At 36.7% G+C, this 21796-nt stretch overlaps 1 annotated feature.

Annotated features, from left to right (window-relative positions):
• Positions 332–1186: an enhancer, noted in NCBI's record as "OCT4-NANOG hESC enhancer chr15:20025538-20026392 (GRCh37/hg19 assembly coordinates)". NCBI's record gives its function as "activates a minimal SCP1, AML or CMV promoter by ChIP-STARR-seq in naive H9 embryonic stem cells {active_cell/tissue: H9 hESC(naive)}" and the evidence as "EXISTENCE:reporter gene assay evidence [ECO:0000049][PMID:30033119]".

The raw sequence follows: 21796 nt of genomic DNA, 5'->3' as shown, positions 1-21796 counted from the left end.
GATTGAGCAGCTTTGAAACACTCTTTTTGTAGAATCTGCATGTGGACATTTGGAGCTCTTCGAGGCCTATGGTGGAAAAGCAAATACCTTAACATAAAAACTATACAGAAACATTCTGACACACTTCTTTGTTATGTGTACATTCTTCACACAGATTTGAACTTTTCTTTTCATTTAGCAGTTTTGAAAAACTCTTTGTGGAATCTGCAAGTGTACTTTTGAAGCACTTTGAGGCCTATGGTTTAAAAGGAAATATGTCCACATAAAAACTAGACAGAATCATTCAGAGAAAATCCTTTGTGTTGTGTGCATTCATCTCACCGGGTTGAACATTTCTTTTGATTGAGCAGGTTTAAACACTATTTTTGAACAATCTGCAAGTGGACATTGGGAGCCATTTGAGTCCTGTTGTGGAATGGGAAATATCTTCATTTAAGAACTAGACAGAAGCATTCTGAGAAACTTCTTTGTGATGTGTGCATTCATCTCACAGAGTTAAACATTTCTTTTGATTGAGCTGTCTTGAAACTATTTTGTAGAATCTGCAAGTGGACATTTGGAGCGCTTTGAGGCCTATGGTAGAAAAGGAAATATCTTCACATAAAATCTAGACAAAACCAATCTGAGAAACTTCTTTGTGATGTGTGCATTCATCTCACAGAGTTAAAACTTTTTTTTGATTGTGCAGTTTTGAAACTCTCTTTTTGTAGACTCTGCAAGTGGACATTTGGAGCTCTTTTAGGCCTATGGTGGAAATAGAAATATCTTCACATAAAAACTAGAGAGAAGAATTCTGAGAAACTTGTTGGTGATGTGTGCGTTCATCTCACAGAGTTGAAACTTTCTTTTGATTGAGCAGTTTGGAAACACTCTTTTTGTAGAATCTGCAAGTGGACATTTGGAGCGCTTTGCGGCCTATGGTAGAAAAGGAAATATCTTAACATAAAACCTACACAGAAGCAATCTGAGAAACTTCTTTGTGATGTGTGCTTTCATCTCACAGAGTTAAACCTTTCTTTTGATTGAGCAGTTTTGAAACTCTCTTTTTGTTGAATCTGCAAGTGGACAATTGGAGCACTTTGGGGCCTATAGTGGATAAGGAAATATCTCCACATAAAAATAGACAGAAGATTTCTGAGAAACTTCTTTGTGATGTGTGCATTCATGTCACAGATTTGAACCATTCTGTTGATTGAGTAGCTTGGAAACACTCTTTTTTAGAATCTCCAAGTGGACATTTGGAGCGCTTTGCGGTCTATGGTAGAAAAGGAATTATCTTCACATAATATCTAGACAGAATCAATCTGAGAAACTTCTTTGTGATGTGTGCATTCATCTCACAGAGTTAAGCCATTCTTTTGATTGAGCAGCTTTGAAACTCTCTTTTCGTAGACTCTGCAAGTGGACATTTGGAGCGCTTTGAGGCTTACAGTGAGAAAGGAAATATCTTCCCATAAAAACTAGACAGAAGAATTCTGAAAAACTTTGTGATGGGCACGTTCATCTCACAGAGTTGAAACTTTCTTTTGATTGAGCAGTTTGGAAACCCTCTTTTTATAGAATCTGCAAGTGGACATTTAGAGCACTTTGTGGCCTATGGTAGACAAGGAAATATGTTCACATAAAATCTAGACAGAAGTAATCTGAGAAACAGCTTTGTGATGTGTGCATTCATCTCACAGAGATAAACATTTCTTTTGATTGAGCAGTTTTGAAACTGTCTTTTTGTAGAATCTGCAAGTGGACATTTGGAGCAATTTGAGGCCTATGGTGGAAAAGGAAATATCTTCACATAAAAACTACATAGAAGCGTTCTGAGAAAGATTTTGTGATGTGCGCATTTATCACCCAGAGTTGAATCTTTCTTTTGAAGGACCAGTTTTGAAATACTCTTTCTGTAGAATCTTCAAGTGGACATTTCGAGCGCCTTGAGGCCTATGGTTTAAAAGGAAATATCTTCACATAAAAACAAGACAGAAGAATTCTGAGAAAGTTCTTTGTGATATGTGCATTCATCTCGCAGAATTGAGCCTTTCTTTTGATTGAGCAGTGTTGAAACTCTCTTTTTGTAGAATCTGCAAATGGTCATTTGGAGCACTTTGAAGCCTACGGTGGAAAAGGAATTTATCTTCACATAAAAACTAGAGAGAAGAATTCTGACAAACTTCTTTGTGATGTGTGCGTTCACCTCACAGAGTTGAAACTTTCTTTTGATTGAGCTGTTTGGAAACACTCTTTTTGTAGAATCTGCAAGTGGACATTTGGAGCACTTTGTGGCCTATGGCAGAACAGGAAATATCTTCACATAAAATTCAGACAGAGGCAATCTGAGAAACTACTTTGTGATGTGTGCATTCATTTCACAGAGTTAAAACTTTAGTTTGATTGAGCAGTTTTGAAACTCTCTTTTTGTAGAATCTGCAAGTGGACTTTTGGAGCGCTTTTAGGCCTATGGTGGAAAAGGAAATATCTTCACATAAATACTAGACAGAAGAATTCTGAGAAACTTCTTTGTGATGTGTGCGTTCATCTCACTGAGTTGAACCTTCATTTTGATTGAGCATTTTGGAAGCACTCCTTTTACAGAATCTGCAAGTGGAGATTTGGAGCGCTTTGCAGCCTATGGTAGAAAAGGAAATACCTAGCCAGTTTTCCCAGCACCATTTATTAAATAGGGAATCCTTTCCCCATTGCTTGTTTTTCTCAGGTTTGTCAAAGATCAGATAGTTGTAGATATGCGGCATTATTTCTGAGGGCTCTGTTCTGTTCCATTGATCTATATCTCTGTTTTGGTACCAGTACCATGCTGTTTTGGTTACTGTAGCCTTGTAGTATAGTTTGAAGTCAGGTAGTGTGATGCCTCCAGCTTTGTTCTTTTGGCTTAGGATTGACTTGGCAATGCGGGCTCTTTTTTGGTTCCATATGAACTTTAAAGTAGTTTTTTCCAATTCTGTGAAGAAAGTCATTGGTAGCTTGATGGGGATGGCATTGAATCTGTAAATTACCTTGGGCAGTATGGCCATTTTCACGATATTGATTCTTCCTACCCATGAGCATGGAATGTTCTTCCATTTGTTTGTCTCCTCTTTTATTTCCTTGAGCAGTGGTTTGTAGTTCTCCTTGAAGAGGTCCTTCACATCCCTTGTAAGTTGGATTCCTAGGTATTTTATTCTCTTTGAAGCAATTGTGAATGGGAGTTCACCCATGATTTGGCTCTCTGTTTGTCTGTTGTTGGTGTATAAGAATGCTTGTGATTTTTGTACATTGATTATTTAGCCATATGTAGAAAGCTGAAACTGGATCCCTTCCTTACACCTTATACAAAAATCAATTCAAGATGGATTAAAGATTTAAACGTTAAACCTAAAACCATAAAAACCCTAGAAGAAAACCTAGGCATTACCATTCAGGACATAGGCGTGGGCAAGGACTTCATGTCCAAAACACCAAAAGCAATGGCAACAAAAGACAAAATTGACAAATGGGATCTAATTAAACTAAAGAGCTTCTGCACAGCAAAAGAAACTACCATCAGAGTGAACAGGCAACCTACAACATGGGAGAAAATTTTTGCAACCTACTCATCTGACAAAGGGCTAATATCCAGAATCTACAATGAACTCAAACAAATTTACAAGAAAAAAACAAACAACCCCATCAAAAAGTGGGCGAAGGACATGAACAGACACTTCTCAAAAGAAGACATTTATGCAGCCAAAAAACACATGAAGAAATGCTCATCATCACTGGCCATCAGAGAAATGCAAATCAAAACCACTATGAGATATCATCTCACACCAGTTAGAATGGCAATCATTAAAAAGTCAGGAAACAACAGGTGCTGGAGAGGATGCGGAGAAATAGGAACACTTTTACACTGTTGGTGGGACTGTAAACTAGTTCAACCATTGTGGAAGTCAGTGTGGCGATTCCTCAGGGATCTAGAACTAGAAATACCATTTGACCCAGCCATCCCATTACTGGGTATATACCCAAATGAGTATAAATCATGCTGCTATAAAGACACATGCACACGTATGTTTATTGCGGCACTATTCACAATAGCAAAGACTTGGAACCAACCCAAATGTCCAACAATGATAGACTGGATTAGGAAAATGTGGCACATATACACCATGGAATACTATGCAGCCATAAAAAATGATGAGTTCATATCCTTTGTAGGGACATGGATGAAATTGGAAACCATCATTCTCAGTAAACTATCGCAAGAACAAAAAACCAAACACCGCATATTCTCACTCATAGGTGGGAATTGAACAATGAGATCACATGGACACAGGAAGGGGAATATCACACTCTGGGGACTGTGGTGGGGTCGGGGGAGGGGGGAGGGATAGCATTGGGAGATATACCTAATGCTAGATGACACATTAGTGGGTGCAGCGCACCAGCATGGCACATGTATACATATGTAACTAACCTGCACAATGTGCACATGTACCCTAAAACTTAGAGTATAATAAAAAAAAAAAAAAAAAAAAAAAAAAAAAAGGAAGCCACTCAACTGCACATTAAAAAAAAAAAATAAATAAATAAATAAATAAATATCCAAAAAAAAAAAAAAAAAAAAAAAAGAAAAGGAAATACCTGCACGTAAAATCTAGACAGAAGCAATATGAGAAAATACTTTGTGATGTGTGCATTCATCTCAGAGAGATAAACATTGCTTTTGGCAGAGCATTTTCTAAACTCTGTTTTTGTAGAATCTGGAAGTCTACATTTGGAGCGGTTTGAGGACAATGTGGAAAGAAAATATCTTCACATAAAAACCAGATTGAAGAATACTGAGAAACTTCTTTGTGATGTGTGCGTTCATCTCACAGACTGGAACATTTCTTTTGATTGAGCTGTTTGGAAACACTCTTTTTGTAGAATCTGCAAGTGGACATTTGGAGCACTATGTGGCCTATGGTAGAAAAGGAAATATCTTCACATAAAATTCAGACAGAAGCAATCTGAGAAACTACTTTGTGATGTGCTCATTCATTTCACAGAGTTAAACTTTTCTTTTGATTCAGGTGTCTTGAAACTCTATTTTGTAGAATCTGCAAGTGGACATTTGGAGCGCTTTGAGGCCTATGGTAGTAAAAGAAACATCTTCACATAAAATCTAGACAAAAGCAATCTGAGAAACTTCTTTGTGATGTGTGCTTTCATCTCACAGAGTTAGAACTTTTTTTGGATTGAGCAGTTTTGAAATTCTCTTTTTGTAGAATCTGCAAGTGGACATTTGGAGCGCTTTGAGGCCTATGGTAGTAAAAGAAACATCTTCACATAAAATCTAGACAAAAGCAATCTGAGAAACTTCTTTGTGATGTGTGCTTTCATCTCACAGAGTTAAAACTTTTTTTGGATTGAGCAGTTTTGAAATTCTCTTTTTGTAGAATCTGCAAGTGGACATTTGGAGTGCTTTTAGACCTAAGGTGGAAAAGGAAACATCTTCCCATAAAAACTAGACAGAAGAATTCTGAGAAACTCCTTTGTGATGTATGTGTTCATCTCACAGAGTTGAAACTTCCTTTTGATTGAGCAGTTTGGAAAAACTGTTTTTGTAAAATCTACAAGTGGACACTTGGAGCGCTTTGCAGCCTAAGGTAGAAAAGGAAATGTCTTCACATAAAAGCTAGACAGAAGCAATCTGAGAAACTTCTTTGTGATATGTGCATTCATCTCACAGAGTTGAACCTTCCTTTGATTGAGCAGTTTGGAATCACTCTGTTTGTAGAATGTGCAAGTGGACATTTGGAGTGCTTTGAGGTCTATGGTGGAAAAGGAAATATCTTCACATAAAAACTAGACAGAAGATTTCTGACAAACTTCTTTGTGATGTGTGTGTTCATATCACTGAGTTGAAACTTTATATTGATTGAGTAGTTTGGAAAAACTCTTTTTGTAGAATCTGCAAGTGGAGATTTAGAGTGCTTTGTGGCCTATGGTAGAAAAGGAAATACCTTCACATAAAATGTAGACAGAAGTAATATGAGAAAATTCTTTGTGATATGTGCATTCATCTCACAGTGTTAAACATTGCTTTTGAATGAGCATTTTGAAACTCTGTTTTGTAGAATCTGGAAGTGTACATTTGGAGCAGTTTGAGGCCAATGTGGAAAAGGAAATATCTTCACATAAAAACTAGACAGAAGAATACTGAGAAACTTCTTTGTGATGTGTGCATTCATCACACAGAGTGGAACGTTTCTTTTGATTGAGCTGTTTGGAAACCATCTTTTTGTAGAATCTGCAAGTGGCCATTTAGAACACTTTGTGGCCTATGGTAGAAAAGGAAATATCTTTACATAAAACTCAGACAGAAGCAATCTGAGAAACTGCTTTGTGATGTGTGCATCCATCTCACAGAGTTAAACATTTCTTTTGATTGAGCTGTCTTGAAACTCTATTTTGTAGAATCTGCAAGTGGACATTTGGAGTGCTTTGAGGCCTATCGTAGAAAAGGAAATATCTTCACATAAAATCTAGACAAAAGTAATCTGAGAAACTTCTTTGTGATGTGTGCATTCATCTCACAGAGTTAAAACTGTTTTTTGATTGAGCAGTTTTGAAACTCTCTTTTTGTAGAATCTGCAAGTGGACATTTGGAGCACTTTTAGGCCTATGGTGGAAAAGGAAATATCTTCCCATAAAAACTGGACAGAAGAATTCTGATAAACTTCTTGTTGATGTGTGCGTTCATCTCACAGAGTTGAAACTTTCTTTTGATTGAGCAGTTTGAAAACAATCTTTTTGTAGAATCTGCAAGTGGACATTTGGAGGGCTTTGCGGGCTATGGTAGAAAAGGAAATATCTTCACTTAAAATGTAGAAATAAGCAATCTGAGAAACTTCTTTGTGATGTGTGCATTCATCTCACAGAGTTAAACCTTTCTTTTGATTGAGCAGTTTTGAAACTCTCTTTTTGTTGAATCTGCAAGTGGACAATTGGAGCACTTGAGGCCTATGGTGGAAAAGGAAATATCTTCACATAAAAGCTAGACAGAAGAACTCTGAGAAACTTCTTTGTGATGTGCGCATTCATCTCACAGAGTTGAACATTTCTTTTCATTGAGAATTATTGAAACACTCTTTTTGTAGATTCTGTAAGTGGGCATTTTGAGCACTTTGCCGCCTATGTTAGAAAAGGAAATAGCTTCACACAAAATCTAGACAGAAGCAATCTGAGAAACTTCTTTGGAATGTGTGCATTCATCTCACAGGGTTAACTCTTACTTTTGATTGAGCAGTTTTGAAACTCTATTTTTGTTGAATGTGCAAGTGGACATTTGGAGTGCTTTGAGTCCTATGGTGGAAAACGAAATATCTTCACATAAAAACTAGACAGAAGCATTTTTAGAAACTTCTTTGTCATGTGTGCGCTGATCTCAAAGGGTTAAGCCTTTGTTTTGATTGAGCAGTTTTGAATCTCTCTTTTTGTAGAATCTGCAATTTAACATTTGGAGCGCTTTGAGGCCTGTGGAGGAAAAGGAAATATTTTCACATCAAAACTACACAGAAGAATTCAGAGAAACCTCTTCGTGATACATGCGTTTATCTCACAGAGTTGAATCTTTCTTTTGATTAAGAGTTTGGAAACACTCTTTTTGTGGAATCTGCAAGTGGACATTTGGAGCGCTTTGCAGCCTATGTTAGAAAAGGAAATATATTCCCATAAAATCTAGATAGAATGAATCTGAGAAACTTCTTTGTGATGTGTGCATTCATCTCACAGAGTTAAAACTTTCTTTTGATTGAGCTGTCTTGAAACTCTCTTTTTGTAAAATCTGCAAGTGGACATTTGGAGTGCTTTGAGGCCTACTGTGGAAAAGTAAATATTTACACATAAAAACTAGACAGAAAAATTCTGAGAAACTTCTTTGTGATTTGTGCTTACATCTCACAGAGTTGAACCTTTCTTTTGATTGAGCAGTTTGGAAGCACTCTTTTTGTACAACATGCAAGTGGACATTTGGAGCGCTTTGTGACCTCTGGTAGAAAACGAAATATCTTCACAGAAAATCTAGATAAAAGCAGTCTGACAAAGTACTTTATGATGTGTGCATTCATATCACAGAGTTAAACATTTCTTTTGATTGAGCAGTTTTGAAACTCTCTTTTTGTAGAATCTACAGTGTACATTTGGAGTGGTTTGAGGCCTATGGTGGAAAAGGAAATATCTTCAGATAAAAACTAGACAGAAGAATTCTGAGAAACTTCTTTGTGATGTGTGCATTCATCTCACAGAGTTGAACCTTTCTTTTGATTAAGCAGTTTGGAATCACTCTTTTTGTAGAATCTGCAAGTGGACATTTGGAGTGCTTTGCGGCCTACGTTAGAAAATGACATATATTAAAATAAAATCTAGACAGAAGCAATCTGAGAAACTTCTTTGTGATGTGTGCATGCATCTCACAGAGTTAAAACTTTCTTTTGATTGAGCTGTCTTGAAACTCTCTTTTTGTAAAATCTGCAAGTGAACATTAGGAGAGCTATGATGCCTATGATGGAAAAGGAAATATCTTCACATAAAAACTAGACAGCAGAATTCTGAGAAACTACTTTGTGATGTGTGCGTTCATATCAAAGAGTTGAACCTTACTTTTTATTGAGCAGTTTGTAAACACTCTATTTGTAGAATTTGCAACTGGACATTTGGAGTGCTTTGTGGCCTATGGTAGAAAACAAAATATCTTCACATAAAATCTAGATGAAAGCAATCTGACAAACATCTTTGTGGCGTGTGCATTCATCTCACCGAGTCAACCTTTCTTTTGACTGAGCACTTTGGAAACTCTATTTTTGTAGAATCTGCAAGTGGACATTTGGAACACTCTGAGGCTTATGGTGGAAAAGGAAATATCTTCACATAAAAACTAGACAGAAGAATTCTGACAAATTTCTTTGTGATGTGTGCATTCAGCTCATGGACTTGAACACTTCTTTTGTTTGAGCAGTTTGGAAACACTCTTTTTGAAGGATCTGCAAGTGGACATTTGGAGCTCTTTGCGGCCTATGGTGGAAAAGGAAATATCTTCATATAAAATGTAGACAGAAGTAATCTGAAAACCTTCTTTATGATGTGTGCATTCATCTCACAGAGTTAAACATTTCTTTTGATTTAGCAGTCTTGAAACTCTCTTTTTGTAGAATCTGCAAGTGGACATTTGTAGCGCTTTGAGGCCTATGGTAGAATAGAATATATCTTCACATAAAAACTAGACAGAGGAATTATCATATACTTCTTTGTGATGTGTGCGTTACTCTCACAGAGTTGAAACTTTCTTTTGATTAAGCAGTTTGGAGACACTCTTTTTGTAGAATCTGCAAGTGGACATTAAGAGCGCTTTGTAGCCTACGTTAGAAAAAGTAATATCTTCACAAAAAATCTAGAAAGAAGCAATCTGAGAAACTTCTTTGTGATGTGTGCATTCATCTCACAGAGTTAAACCTTTATTTTGATTGAACAGTTATGAAACTCTTTTTTTGTAGAATCTACAAGTGGACATTTTCAGCGCTTTGAGGCCTATGGTGGAAAAGGAAATATCTTCACATAAAAAATAGATAGAAGCATTTTTAGAAACATCTTTGTGATGTGTGCATTCATCTAATGGGTTGAAACCTTTCTTTTGATAGAGGAGTTTTAAAGCTCCCTTTTTGTATAATCTCTAAGTGGACATTTGAAGGGCTTTCAGGCCTATGGTGGAAAATGAAATATCTACACATAAAAAGTACATAGAAGCATTCTGAGAAACTACTTTGTGATGTGTGCATTCAACCCCCAGAGTTGAACATTCCTTTGAAGGAACAGTTTTGAAATACTCTTTTTGTAGAATCTGCAAGTGTACCATTCGAGTGCCTTGGGGCCTATGGTACAAAAGGAAATATCTTCACATAAAAACTAGAAAGAAGAATTCTGAGAAAGCTCTTTGTGATGTGTGCATTCATCTAGAAAGTTGAACATTTCTTTGGTTGAGCAGTTTGGAAACACTCTTTTGGTAGAATCTGCAAGTGGACATTTGGAGCACTCTGTGGCCTATGTTAGAACAGGAAACATCTTCACATAAAATGTAGACAGAAGCAATCTGAGAAACTTCTTTGTGATGTGTGCATTCATCTCAAAGAGGTAAAGCTTTCCTTTGATAGAGCAGATTTGAAACTCTCTTTTTGTAGAATCTGCAAGTGGACATTTGGAGCAATATGATGCATGTGGTGGAAAAGTTAATATCGTCATATAAAAACTAGACAGAAGAATTCTGAGAAACTTCTTTGAGATGTCTGTGTTCATCTCACAGAGTTGAAACTTTCCTTTGATTGAGCAGTTTGGAAATACTCTTTTTGTAGAATCTGCAAGTGGACATTTGGAGAGCTTTGCAGCCAATGGTAGAAAAGGCAATATCTTCACGTAAAATCTAGACAGAAGGAATCTCAGAAACTTCCGCATGTTGTCTGCATTCATTTCACAGAGTTAAACTTTTCTTTTGATTGAGCAGTTTGGAAACTCTTTTTGTAGGATCTGCAAGTGGACATTTGTAGTGCTTTGAGGCCAATGGTGGAAAAGGAAATATCTTCACATAAAAACTAGACAGAAGAATTCTGAGAAACTTCTTTGTGATGTGTGTGTTCATCTCACAGAGTTGAACGTTTCTTTTGATTGAGCTGTTGGAAACACTCTTTCTGTAGAATCTGCAAGTGGACATTTGGAGCACTTTGCGACCTATGGTGGAAAAGGAAATATCTTCACATAAAAACTAGACAGAAGAATTATTAGAAACCTCTTTGTGATGCGAGTGTTCAACTCACAGAGTTGAACCTTTCTTTTGATTGTGCAGTTTGCAAACAACTCTTTTTGTAGATTCTGCAAGTGCACATTTGGAGCCCTTTGCGGCCTATGGTAGAAATGGCAATATCTTCACGTAAAATCTAGACAAAAGCAATCTGAGAAATTTCTTTATGATGTATGCATTCATCTCACAGAGTTAATCATTCTTTTGACTGAGCAGTTTTGAAACTCTCTTTTTGTATAATCTGCAAGTGAAAATTTGTGGCGCTTTGAGGTATATGGTGGAAAAGGAAATATCTTCACAGAAAAACTAGACAGAAGAATTCTGAGAAACTCCTTTGTGATGTGTGTGTTCATCTCACAGAGTTGAAACTTTCTTTTGATTCAGCAGTTTGGAAACACTCTTTTTGTAGAATCTACAAGTGGACATTTGGAGCGATTTGCGGGCTGTGGTAGAAAAGGAAATATCTTCACTTAAAATCTAGAAAGAAGCAACCTGAGAAACTTCTTTGTGATGTGTTCATTCATCTCACAGAGTTAAAGATTTCTTTTATTGAACAGTTTTCAAACTCTCTTTTTGTAGAATCTGCAAGTGGACATTTGGAGGGCTTTGCGGGCTATGGTAGAAAAGGAAATATCTTCACTTAAAATGTAGAAATAAGCAATCTGAGAAACTTCTTTGTGATGTGTGCATTCATCTCACAGAGTTAAACCTTTCTTTTGATTGAGCAGTTTAAAAACACTCTTTTTGTAGAATCTGGAAGTGGACATTTGGAGCGCACTGAGGCCATGGTGGAAAAGGAAATATCTTCACATAAAAACTAGACAGAAGAATTCTGACAAACTCCTTTGTGATGTGTGCCTTCATCTCACAGAGTTGAAACTTTCTTTTTATTGAGCAGTTTGCAAAACCACTTTTAGTAGAGTCTGAATGTGGACATTTGGAGCACTTTGTGGACTATGGTAGAGAAGGGAATATCTTCATGTAAAATCTAGACAGAAGTAATCTGAGAAACTTCTTTGTGATGTGCGCATTCATCTCACAGAGTTAAACCTTTCTTTTGATTTAGCAGTTTTGAAACTCTCTTTTAGTAGAATCTGCAAGTGGACATTTGGAGAGCTTTGAGGCCTAAAAAAGTTTACAGAGTTAAACTTTTCTTTTGATTGAGCAGTTTTGAAAATGTCTTTTTGTAGAATCTGTAAGTGGACATTTGGAGAGCTTTGAGGCCTATGGTGTAAAAGGAAATATCTTCACATAAAACCTAGATAGAAGTATTATGAGAAACTGCTTTGTGATGTGTGCATTCATCTCCCCGAGTTGACCCTTTCTTATGAAGGACCAGTTTTGAAATAAGCTTTTTGTAGAATCTGCAAGTGGACATTTTAAGTGTCTTGAGGTCTATGGTGGAAAAGGAAATGTCTTCACAAAAACTAGACAGAAGAATTCTGAGAAACCTCTTTGTGATGCAAGCATTCATCTCACAGAGTTGAGCCTTTCTTTTGATTGAGCAGTTTGGAAACAGTCTTTTTGTTGAATCTGCAAGTGGACATTTGGAGAACTTTGCGGCCTATGGTAGAAAAGGAAATATCTTCACATAAAATCTAGACAGAAGTAATCTGAGAAACTTCTTTGTGATGTGCGCATTCATCTCACAGAGTTAAAACTTTCTTTTGATTGAGGAATTTTGAAATTCTCTTTTTGTAGAATCTGCAAGTGGACATTTGGAGTGCTTTGTGGCCTATGGTAGAATAGGAAATATCTTTACATAAAAACTAGACAGAAGAATTCTGAGAAACTTCTTCTTGATGCATGCGTTCATCTCATAGAGTTCAACCTTTCTTTTGATTGACCGGTTTAGAAACACTCTGTCTTTAAATTCTGCAAGTGAACATTTGGAGCGCTTTGCGGCCTATGGCATAAAAGGAAATATCTTCACATTAAATCTAGACACAAGCAATCTGAGAAACTTCTTTGTGATGTGTGCATTCATCTCACGGAGTTAAACATTTCTTTTGATTTAGCAGTTTTGAAACTCTCTTTTTGTAGAATCTGTAAGTGGACATTTGGAGCGCTTTGAGGCCTACAATGGAAAACGATTTATCTTCACAGTAAAACTAGAAAGAAGTATTTTGGGAAACTTCTTTCTAATGTGTGCGTTCATCTCACAGAGTTAAACCTTTCTTTTGGTTGAGCAGTCTTGAAGCTCTCTTTTTGTAGAATCTGCAAGTGGACATTTGGAGCGCTTTGAGGCCTATGGTGGAAAAGGAAATATCTCCACTTAAAAACTAGACAGAAGAATTCTGAGAAACTTCTTTGTGATGGGTGCGTTCATCTCACAGAGCTGAACTTTTGTTTGGGTGGAGCAGTTTGAAAACACTCTTTTTCTAGAATTTGCAGGTGGACCTTTGGAGTGCTTTGCGGCCTATGGTAGAAAAAAGAAATATCTTCGCATAAAATCTAGACAGAAGCAATCTGAGAAACTGCTTTGTCATGTTTGCATTCATCTAACAGGCTTGAACATTTCTTTTGATTGAGCACTTTGGAAACACTCTTTTTGCAGAATCTGGAAGTGGACATTTGGAGCGCTTTGAGGCCTATTTTAGAAAAGGAAATATCTTCACATAAAATCTAGACAGAAGAAATCTGAGAAACTTCTTTGTAAATGTGTGCATTCATCTCACAGAGTTAAACATTTCCTTTGATTGAGAAGTTTTGAAACTCTCTTTTTTTAGAATCAGAAAGTGGACATTTTGAGTACTTTGAGGCATATGGTGGAAAAGGAAATATCCGCAGATGAAATCTAGAAAGAAGCAATCTGAGAAACTTCTTTATGATGTGTGCATTCATCTCACACAGTAAAACCTTTCTTTTGATTGAGCAGTTTTGAAACTCTCTTTTTGTAGAATCTGTAAGTGGACATTTGGAGGGCTTTGAGGCCTTTGGTGGAAAAGGAAATATCTTCACATAAAAACAAGACAGAAGAATTCTGAGAAACGTATTCGTGATGTGTGTGTTGATCTCACAGAGTTGAACTTTTCTTTTGATTGAGCAATTTGGAAACCCTCTTTTTGTAAAATCTGCAAGTGGACATTTGGAACACTTTGCAGCCTATGTTAGAAAAAAGAAATATCTTCATATAAAATCTAGACAGAAGCAATCTGAGAAACTTCTTTGTGATGTGTCCTTTCACCTCACAGAATTGAAACTTTCTTTTCATTGAGAAATTTGGAGACCCTCTTTTTGTGGAATTGGCAAGTGAAAATTTTGAGCACTTTGCGACCTATGGTAGAACAGGAAATATCTTCACATAAAATCTAGACAGAAGCAATCTGAGAAACTTCTTTCTGATGTGTGCATTCATCTCACAGAGTTAAATCTTTTTTTTTTTTTTTGAGCAGTTTTGAAACTCTCTTTTTGTAGAATCTGCAAGTGGACATTTGGAGCGCTTTGAGGCCTACGGTGGAAAAGGAAATATCTTCATATAAAAACTAGACAGAAGAATTCTGAGAAACTTCTTTGTGATGTGTGCATTCATCTCGCAGAGTTGAACCTTTCTTTTGATTAAGGAGTTTGGAAACACTCTTTTTGTAAAATCTGCAAGTGGACATTTGTAGCGCTTTGTAGCCTATTGTAGAAAAGGAAATATGTTCACATAAAATCTAGACAGAAGCAATCTGGGAAACTTCTTTGGGATGTGTGAATTCATCTCACAGATTTCAACCTTTCTTTTGTTTGAGCAGTTTTGAAACTCTCTTTTTGTAGAATCTGAAAGTGGACATTTGGAGCCATCTGAGGCCTATGTTGGAAAAGGAAGTATCTTCAAATAAAAACTAGACAGAAGAATTCTGAGAAACTTCTTTGTGATGAGTGTGCTCATCTCACAGAGTTAAAGATTCTTTTGATTGAGCAGTTTGGAAACACTCTTTTTGAAGAATCTGCAAGTGGATATTTGGAGTGTTTTGAGAAATGTGGTGGAAAAGGAAATATCGTCATATAAAAACTAGACAGAAGAATTCTGAGAAATTTCTTTGTGATGTGTGCATTCATCTCACAGAGTTGAAGCTTTCTTTTGATTGAGCAGTTTGGAAACTATCTTTTTGTAGAATCTGCAAGTGGATACTTGGAGCGCTTTGTGGCCTGTGGTAGAAAAGGAAATATCATCACATAAAATCTAGACAGAAGAAATCTGAGAAACTTCTTTCCGACGTGTGTGGTCATCTCACAGAGCTAAAACTTTCTTTTAATTGAGCATTCCTGAAACTCTCTTTTTGTAGAATCTATAAGTGGACGTTTGGAGCACTTTAAGGCCTACGGTGGAAAAGGAAATAACTTCACATTAAAAACTAGACAGAAGAATTCTGAGAAACTTCCTTGTGATGTGTGTGTTCATCTCACAGAGTTGAAGCTTTCTTTTGATTGAGCAGTTTGGAAACAGTCTTTTTGTAGAATTTGCAAGTGGACATTTGGATCGCTTTATGGCCTATGTTAGAAAAGGAAATATCTTCACATAAAATCTAGACAGTAGCAATCGGAAAAATTTCTTTGGGATGTGTGCATTCATCTCACAAAGTTAAAACTTTCTTTTGATAGAGCAGTTTTGAAACTCTCTTTTTGTAGAATCTGCAAGTGGATTTTTGGAGCACTTTGGGGCCTATGGTGGAAAAGGAAATATCTTCACATAAAAACTAGACAGAAAAATTCTGACCATGTTCTTTGTGATGTGTGCATTCATCTCACAGAGTTGAACCTTTCTTTTCATTGAGCAGTTTGGAAACACTCTTTTTGTAGAATCTGCTAGTGGACATTTGCAACGCTTTGTGGTCTATGGTAGAAAGGGAAATATCTTCACATAAAAACTAGACTGAAGCAATCTGATAAACTTCTTTGTGATGTGTGCATTCATCCCACACAGTTAAAATTTTCTTTTGATTGAGCAGTTTGAAACTCTCTTTTTGTAGAATCTGCAACTGGACATTTGGAGCGCTTTGAGTACTGTGGTGGAAAAGGAAACATTTTCATATAAAAACTAGACAGAAGAATTCCGACAAACTTCTTTGTGATGTGTGCATTCATCTCACAGAGTTGAACTTTTCTTTTCGTTGAGCAGTTGGGAAACACTCTTTTTGTACAATCTGCAAGTGGACATTTGGAGCGATTTGAAGCCTGTGGTGAAAAAGGAAATATCTTCACAAAAAAAAACTAGACAGAAGAATTCTGAGAAACTTCTTTGTGATGCGTGCATTCATCTCACAGAGTTGAACCTTTCTTTTGATAGAACAGGTTGGAAACACTCTTTTTTAGAATCTGCAAGTGGACATTAAGAGCGCTTTGCAGCCTACAGTAGAAAAAGAAATATCTTCATATAAAATCTAGACAGAAGCAATCTGCAAAACATTTTTGTGATGTATGAATTCGTTTCACAGAGGGCAACCTTCCTTTTGATTGAGCAGTCTTGAAACTCTCTTTTTGTAGAATCTGCAAGTGGACATTTGGAGCGCTTTGTGGCCTATGGTGGAAAAGGAAATATCTACACATAAAAACTAGAGAGAAGAATTCTGAGAAACTTCTTTGTGATGGGTGCGGTCAGCTCACAGAGTTGAAACTTTCTTTTGATTGAGCAGTTTGGAAGCACTCTTCTTGTAGAATCTGCAAGTGGACATCTGGAGTGCTCTGCGGCCTGTGGTAGAAAAGGAAATACCTTCACATAAATTCTAGACAGAAGCAATCTGAGATACTTCTTTGTTAGTGTGCATTCATCTCACAGAGTTAAACCTATCTTTTGATTGAGCAGTTTGGAAACACTCTCTTTGTAGAATCTGCAAGTGAACATTTCTAGAGCTTTGTGGCCTCTGGTAGAAAAGGAAATATTAAAAATAAAATCTAGATGGAAGGAATCTGAGAAACTTGTGATGTGTGCATTCATCTTACAGAGATAATCCTTCCTTTTGATTGAGCAGTTTTGAAACTCTTTCTGAATAATCTACAAGTGGACATTTGGAGCGTTTTGAGGTATATGGTGTAAAAGGAAATATCTTCACATAAAAACCAGACAGAAGAATTCTGAGAAACTTCTTTGTGATGCGTGCATTAATCTCACAGAGTTCAAGCTTTCTTTAGATTGAGCAGTTTGGAAATACTGTTTTTGAGGAATCTGCAAGTGGACATTTAGAGCACTTTGCAGCCTATGTTAGAATAGGAAATATCTTCACTTAAAATCTAGACAGAAGCAGTCTGTGAAACTTCTTTGTGATGTGTGCATTCATCTCACAAAGTTAAAACTTTCTTTTGATTGAGCAGTTTTCAAACTCTCTTTTCATAGAATCTGCAAGTGGACATTTGGAGAGCTTTGAGGCCTGTGGTGGAAAAGGAAATATCTTCACATAAAAACTAGACAGAAGAATTCTGAGAAACTTCTTTGTGATGTACGCTTTCATCTCACAGAGTTGAATTCTTCTTTTTATTGAGCAGTTTGGAAACATTCTTTTTTTAGACTCTGCAGGTGGACATTTTTATTGCTTTATGGTCTATGGTAGAAAAGGTAATATCTTCACATAAAATCTAGACAGAAGCTCTCTGAGAAACTTCTTTGTGATGTGTGCACTCATCTCACAGCGTTAAAACTTCCTTTTGATTGGAGCAGTTTTGAAACGCTCTTTTTGTAGAATCTGCAAGTGGATATTTGGAGTGCTTTGAGGCCTATGGTGGAAAAGAAAATATTTTCACATAAAAAGTAAACAGAAGAGTTCTGAGAAACTTCTTTGGGATGTGTGCGTTCATCTCACAGAGTTGAACCTTTCTTTTGATTGAGGAGTTTGGAAACACTCTTTTTGCAGAATCTGCAAGTGGACATTTGGAGAACTTTGCAGCCTATGGTAGAAAAGGAAATATCTTCACATAAAATCTAGACAGAAGCAATCTGAGAAACTTATTTGTGATGTGTGCATTCATCTCACAGCATTAAAACTTCCTTTTGATTGGAGCAGTTTTGAAACACCCTTTTTGTAGAATCTGCAAGTGGGTATTTGGAGCACTTTGAGGCCTATGTTGGAAAAGGAAATATCTTCACGTAAAAACTAGATGGAAGCATTTGGTAAACTTCTCTGTGATGTGTGCCTTCATCTCCCAGAGGTGAACCTTTCTTTTGAAAGACCAGTTTTGAAATACTCTTTTTGTAGAATCTGCAACTGGACATTTCGAGCGCCTTGAGGCCTATGGTGGCAAAGGAAATATATTCACATAAAAACTAGACAGAATTCTGATAAACTTTTTTGTGATGTATGCATTTATCTCCCAGAATTGAACCTTTCTTTTGAAGGACCAGTTTTGAAATACTCTTTTTGTGGAATCTGCAAGTGGAGATTTCGAGTGCCTTGAAGCCTATGTGGGAAAAGAAAACATCTTCACGTATCAACTGGACAGAAGAATTCTGAGAAACTTCTTTGTGATGTGTGGGTTCATCTCACAGAGTTGAACCTTTCCTTTGAGCAGCTTGTAAAAACTCTTTTTGTAGTATCTGTAAGTGGACACTTGGAACGCTTTGCAGCCTATGGTAGAAAAGGGACTATATTCACATAACATCTAGACAGAAACATTCTGAGAAAATTCTTTGTAATGTTTGCATTCATTCAACAGAGCTGAACCTTTCCTTTGATGGACCAGTTTTGAAATACTCTTTTTGTGGAATCCGCATGTGGACATTTCGAGTGCTTTGAGGCCTAGGGTGGAAAATGAAATATCTTCACATAAAAGCTATGCAGAAGAATTCTGAGAAACTTCTTTGAAATGTGTTCATTCATCTCACAGAGTTGAACCTTTCTTTTGATTGAGCAGTTTGGAAAAATTTTTTTCGTAGAATCTCAAGTGGACATGTTGAGCGCTTTGTGGCATATAGTAGAAAAGGAAGTATCTTCACATAAAATCTAGACAGAAGCAATCTGAGAAACTTCTTTGTTATGTGTGTACTCATCTCAAAGAGGTAAACCTTTCTTTTGGTTGAGCAGTTTTGAAACTCTCTTTTTGTAGAATCTGCAAGTGGACAGTTGGAGCACTTTGAGGCCTATGGTGGGAAAGGAAATATCTTCACATAAAAACTAGACAGAAGAATTCTGACAAACTTCTTTGTGATGTGTGCATTCTTCTCACAGAGTGGAACTGTTCTTTTGATTGAGCAGTTTGGTACCACTCTTTCTTGTAGAATCTGCAAGTGGACATTTGGAGCGCTTTGCGGTCTATAGTAGAAAAGTAAATATCTTCACATAAAATCTACACAGAAACAATCTGAGAAACTTGTTTGGGATATATGCATTCATCTCACAGAGATAACCCTTTCTTTTGATTGAGCAGTTTTGAAACTCTCTTTTTGTAGAATCTGCAAGCGGACATTTAGAGAGTCTTGAGGCCTATGGTGGAACAGGAAATATCTTCACATAAAAATTAGACAGAAGGATTCTGAGAAACTTCTTTGTGATGAGTGCGTTCATCTCACGGAGTTGAACCTTTCTTTTGATTGAGCAGTTTGGAAACACACTTTTTGTAGCATCTGCAAGTGGACATTTGGAACTCTTTGCAGCCAATGGTAGAAAAGGAAATATCTTCACATAAAATCCAGACAGAAGCAATCTGAGAAACTTCTTTGTGATGTGTGCATTAATCTCACAGAGTTAAACTTTTCTTTTGATTGAGCAGATTGGAAACTCTCTTTTCGTAGAATCTGCAAGTGGACATTTGGAGTGTTTGAGGCCTGTGGTGGAGAAGGAAATATCTTCACATAAAAAGTAGATAGAAGCATTCTTATTAGCTTCTCTGTGATGTCTGCATTCATCTCCCAGAGTTCCACCTTTCTTTAGAAGAACCAGTTTTCAAATACTCTTTTTGGAGAATCTGCAAAGGGACTTTTCAAGCACCTTGAGGCTTAAGTTGGAAAAGGAAATATCTTCACAAAAAAAACAGATAGAAGAATTCTGAGAATCTTCTTTATGATATGTACGTTCATCTAACGTTGAACCTTTCTTTTGAACGTGTAGTTTGGAAACACCCTTTTTGTAGAATTGGCAAGTGGGCATTTGGAGCACTTTGCGGCCTATGATAGAAAAGGAAATATCTTCACATAAAATCTAGAAGGAAGCAATCTGAGAAACTTCTTTGTGATGTGTGCATTCATCTCACAGAGTTGAAACTTTCTTTTGATTGAGCAGTTTTGAAACACTCTCTTCGTAGAATCTGCAAGTGGATATTTGGAGCCCTTTGAGGCCTATTGTGGAAAAGGAAATATCTTCACATAAAAACTACTCAGAAGCATTCTAAGAAACACCATTGTGATGTTTGGATTCAACTCACAGAGTGGAAACTACATTTTGATTGAGCAGTTTTGAATCTCTCCTTTTGCAGAATCTGCAAGTGGTTGTTTGGAAAGCTTTGAAGCCTATTGTGGAAAAGGAAATATCTTTACATAAAAACTACACAGAAGCATTCTGAGAAACTACTTTGTGAGGTGTGCATTCAACTCACAGAGTTGAAATTATCTTCTCATTGAGGAGTTTTCTATCTCTCTTTTTGTAGAATCTGCATGTCGATATTTGAAGAACTTTGCATCCTATGGTGGAAAAGGAAATATCTTGAAATAAAAACTACACAGAAGCATTCACAGAAACTTCTTTGTGATGTGTGCACTCAACTCACAGAGTTGAACCTATCTTTAGATTGAGCAGTTTTGAATCTCTCTTCTTGCACAATCTGAAGGTGGATATTTCGAGCCTTTTGAGGCCTACAGTGGAAAAGCAAATATCTTCACAGAAAAACTACACGGAAGCATTGTGATAAACTTCTTTGTGATGTGTGCATTCAACTCACAAAGTTGAACTTATATTCTCATTGAGCAGTTTTGAATATCTCTTTTGGTAGAATCTCCAAGTGGATATTTGGAGCCCTTTGCACCCTATGGTGGAAAAGGAAATATCTTCAAATAAAAACTACACAGAAGCATTCAGAGAAACTGCTTTGTGATGTATGCATTCAACTCACAGAGTTGAACATATCTTTTGAATCAGCAGTTTTGAATCTCTCTTTTGGCAGAATCTTCAGGTGGATATTTGGAGCCCTTTGAGGCCTACTGTGGAAAAGAAAATATCTTCACATAAAAACTACACAGAAGCATTCTGAGAAACTTCTTTGTGAGGTGTGCATTCAGCTCACAGAGTTGATCTTATCTTCTCATTGAGCAGTTTTGAATCTCTCTATTTGTAGAATCTGCAAGTGGATATTTGGAGCCCTTTGAGCCCTATGGTGGAAAAGGAAATATCTTGAAATAAAAACTACACAGAAGCATTCAGACAAACTTCTTTGTGATGTATGCATTCAACTCACAGAGTTGAACGTATCTTTTCATTGAGCAGTTTTGAACCTCTCTTTTTGCAGAATCTGCAGGTGGATATTTGGAGCGCTTTGAGGCCTTCGGTGGAAACGGGAATACCTTCACATAAAAACTAGACAGAAGCATTCTCAGAAACTTCGTTGTGATGTGTGCATTCAACTCACAGAGTTGAACCTTCCTTTTGATAGAGCAGTTTTGAGACACTGTTTTTGTAGAATCTGCAAGTGGACATTTTGATCGCTCTGAGGCCTACGGTGTAAACGAGATATCTTTACATAAAAACTAGACAGAAGCATTCCCAGAAACTTCTTTGTGATGTGTGCATTCAACTCACAGAGTTGAGTCTTCCTTTTGATAGAGCAGTTTTGAAACACTCTTTTTGTGGAATTTGCAAGTGGATATTTGGAATGCTTTGAGGCCTATGGTAGAAACAGAAATATCTTCATATAAAAACTACACAGAAGTATTCTCAGAAAATACTTTGTGATGTGTGCATTCAACTCACAGAGTTGAAAATTCCTTTTGATAGAGAAGTTTTGAAACACTCTTTTTGTAGAATCTGCAAGTGGATATTGGGAGCGCTTTGAGGTTTTCGATGGAAATGGGAATATCTTCACATAAAAACTAGACAG

The sequence above is a fragment of the Homo sapiens genome, chromosome 15 (assembly GCF_000001405.40).
Source record: "Homo sapiens chromosome 15, GRCh38.p14 Primary Assembly".
Classification (NCBI taxonomy): domain Eukaryota; kingdom Metazoa; phylum Chordata; class Mammalia; order Primates; family Hominidae; genus Homo; species Homo sapiens.
The sequence above is the reverse complement of the archived record's forward strand: the minus strand, read 5'-3'. Positions and strand labels throughout refer to the sequence as shown.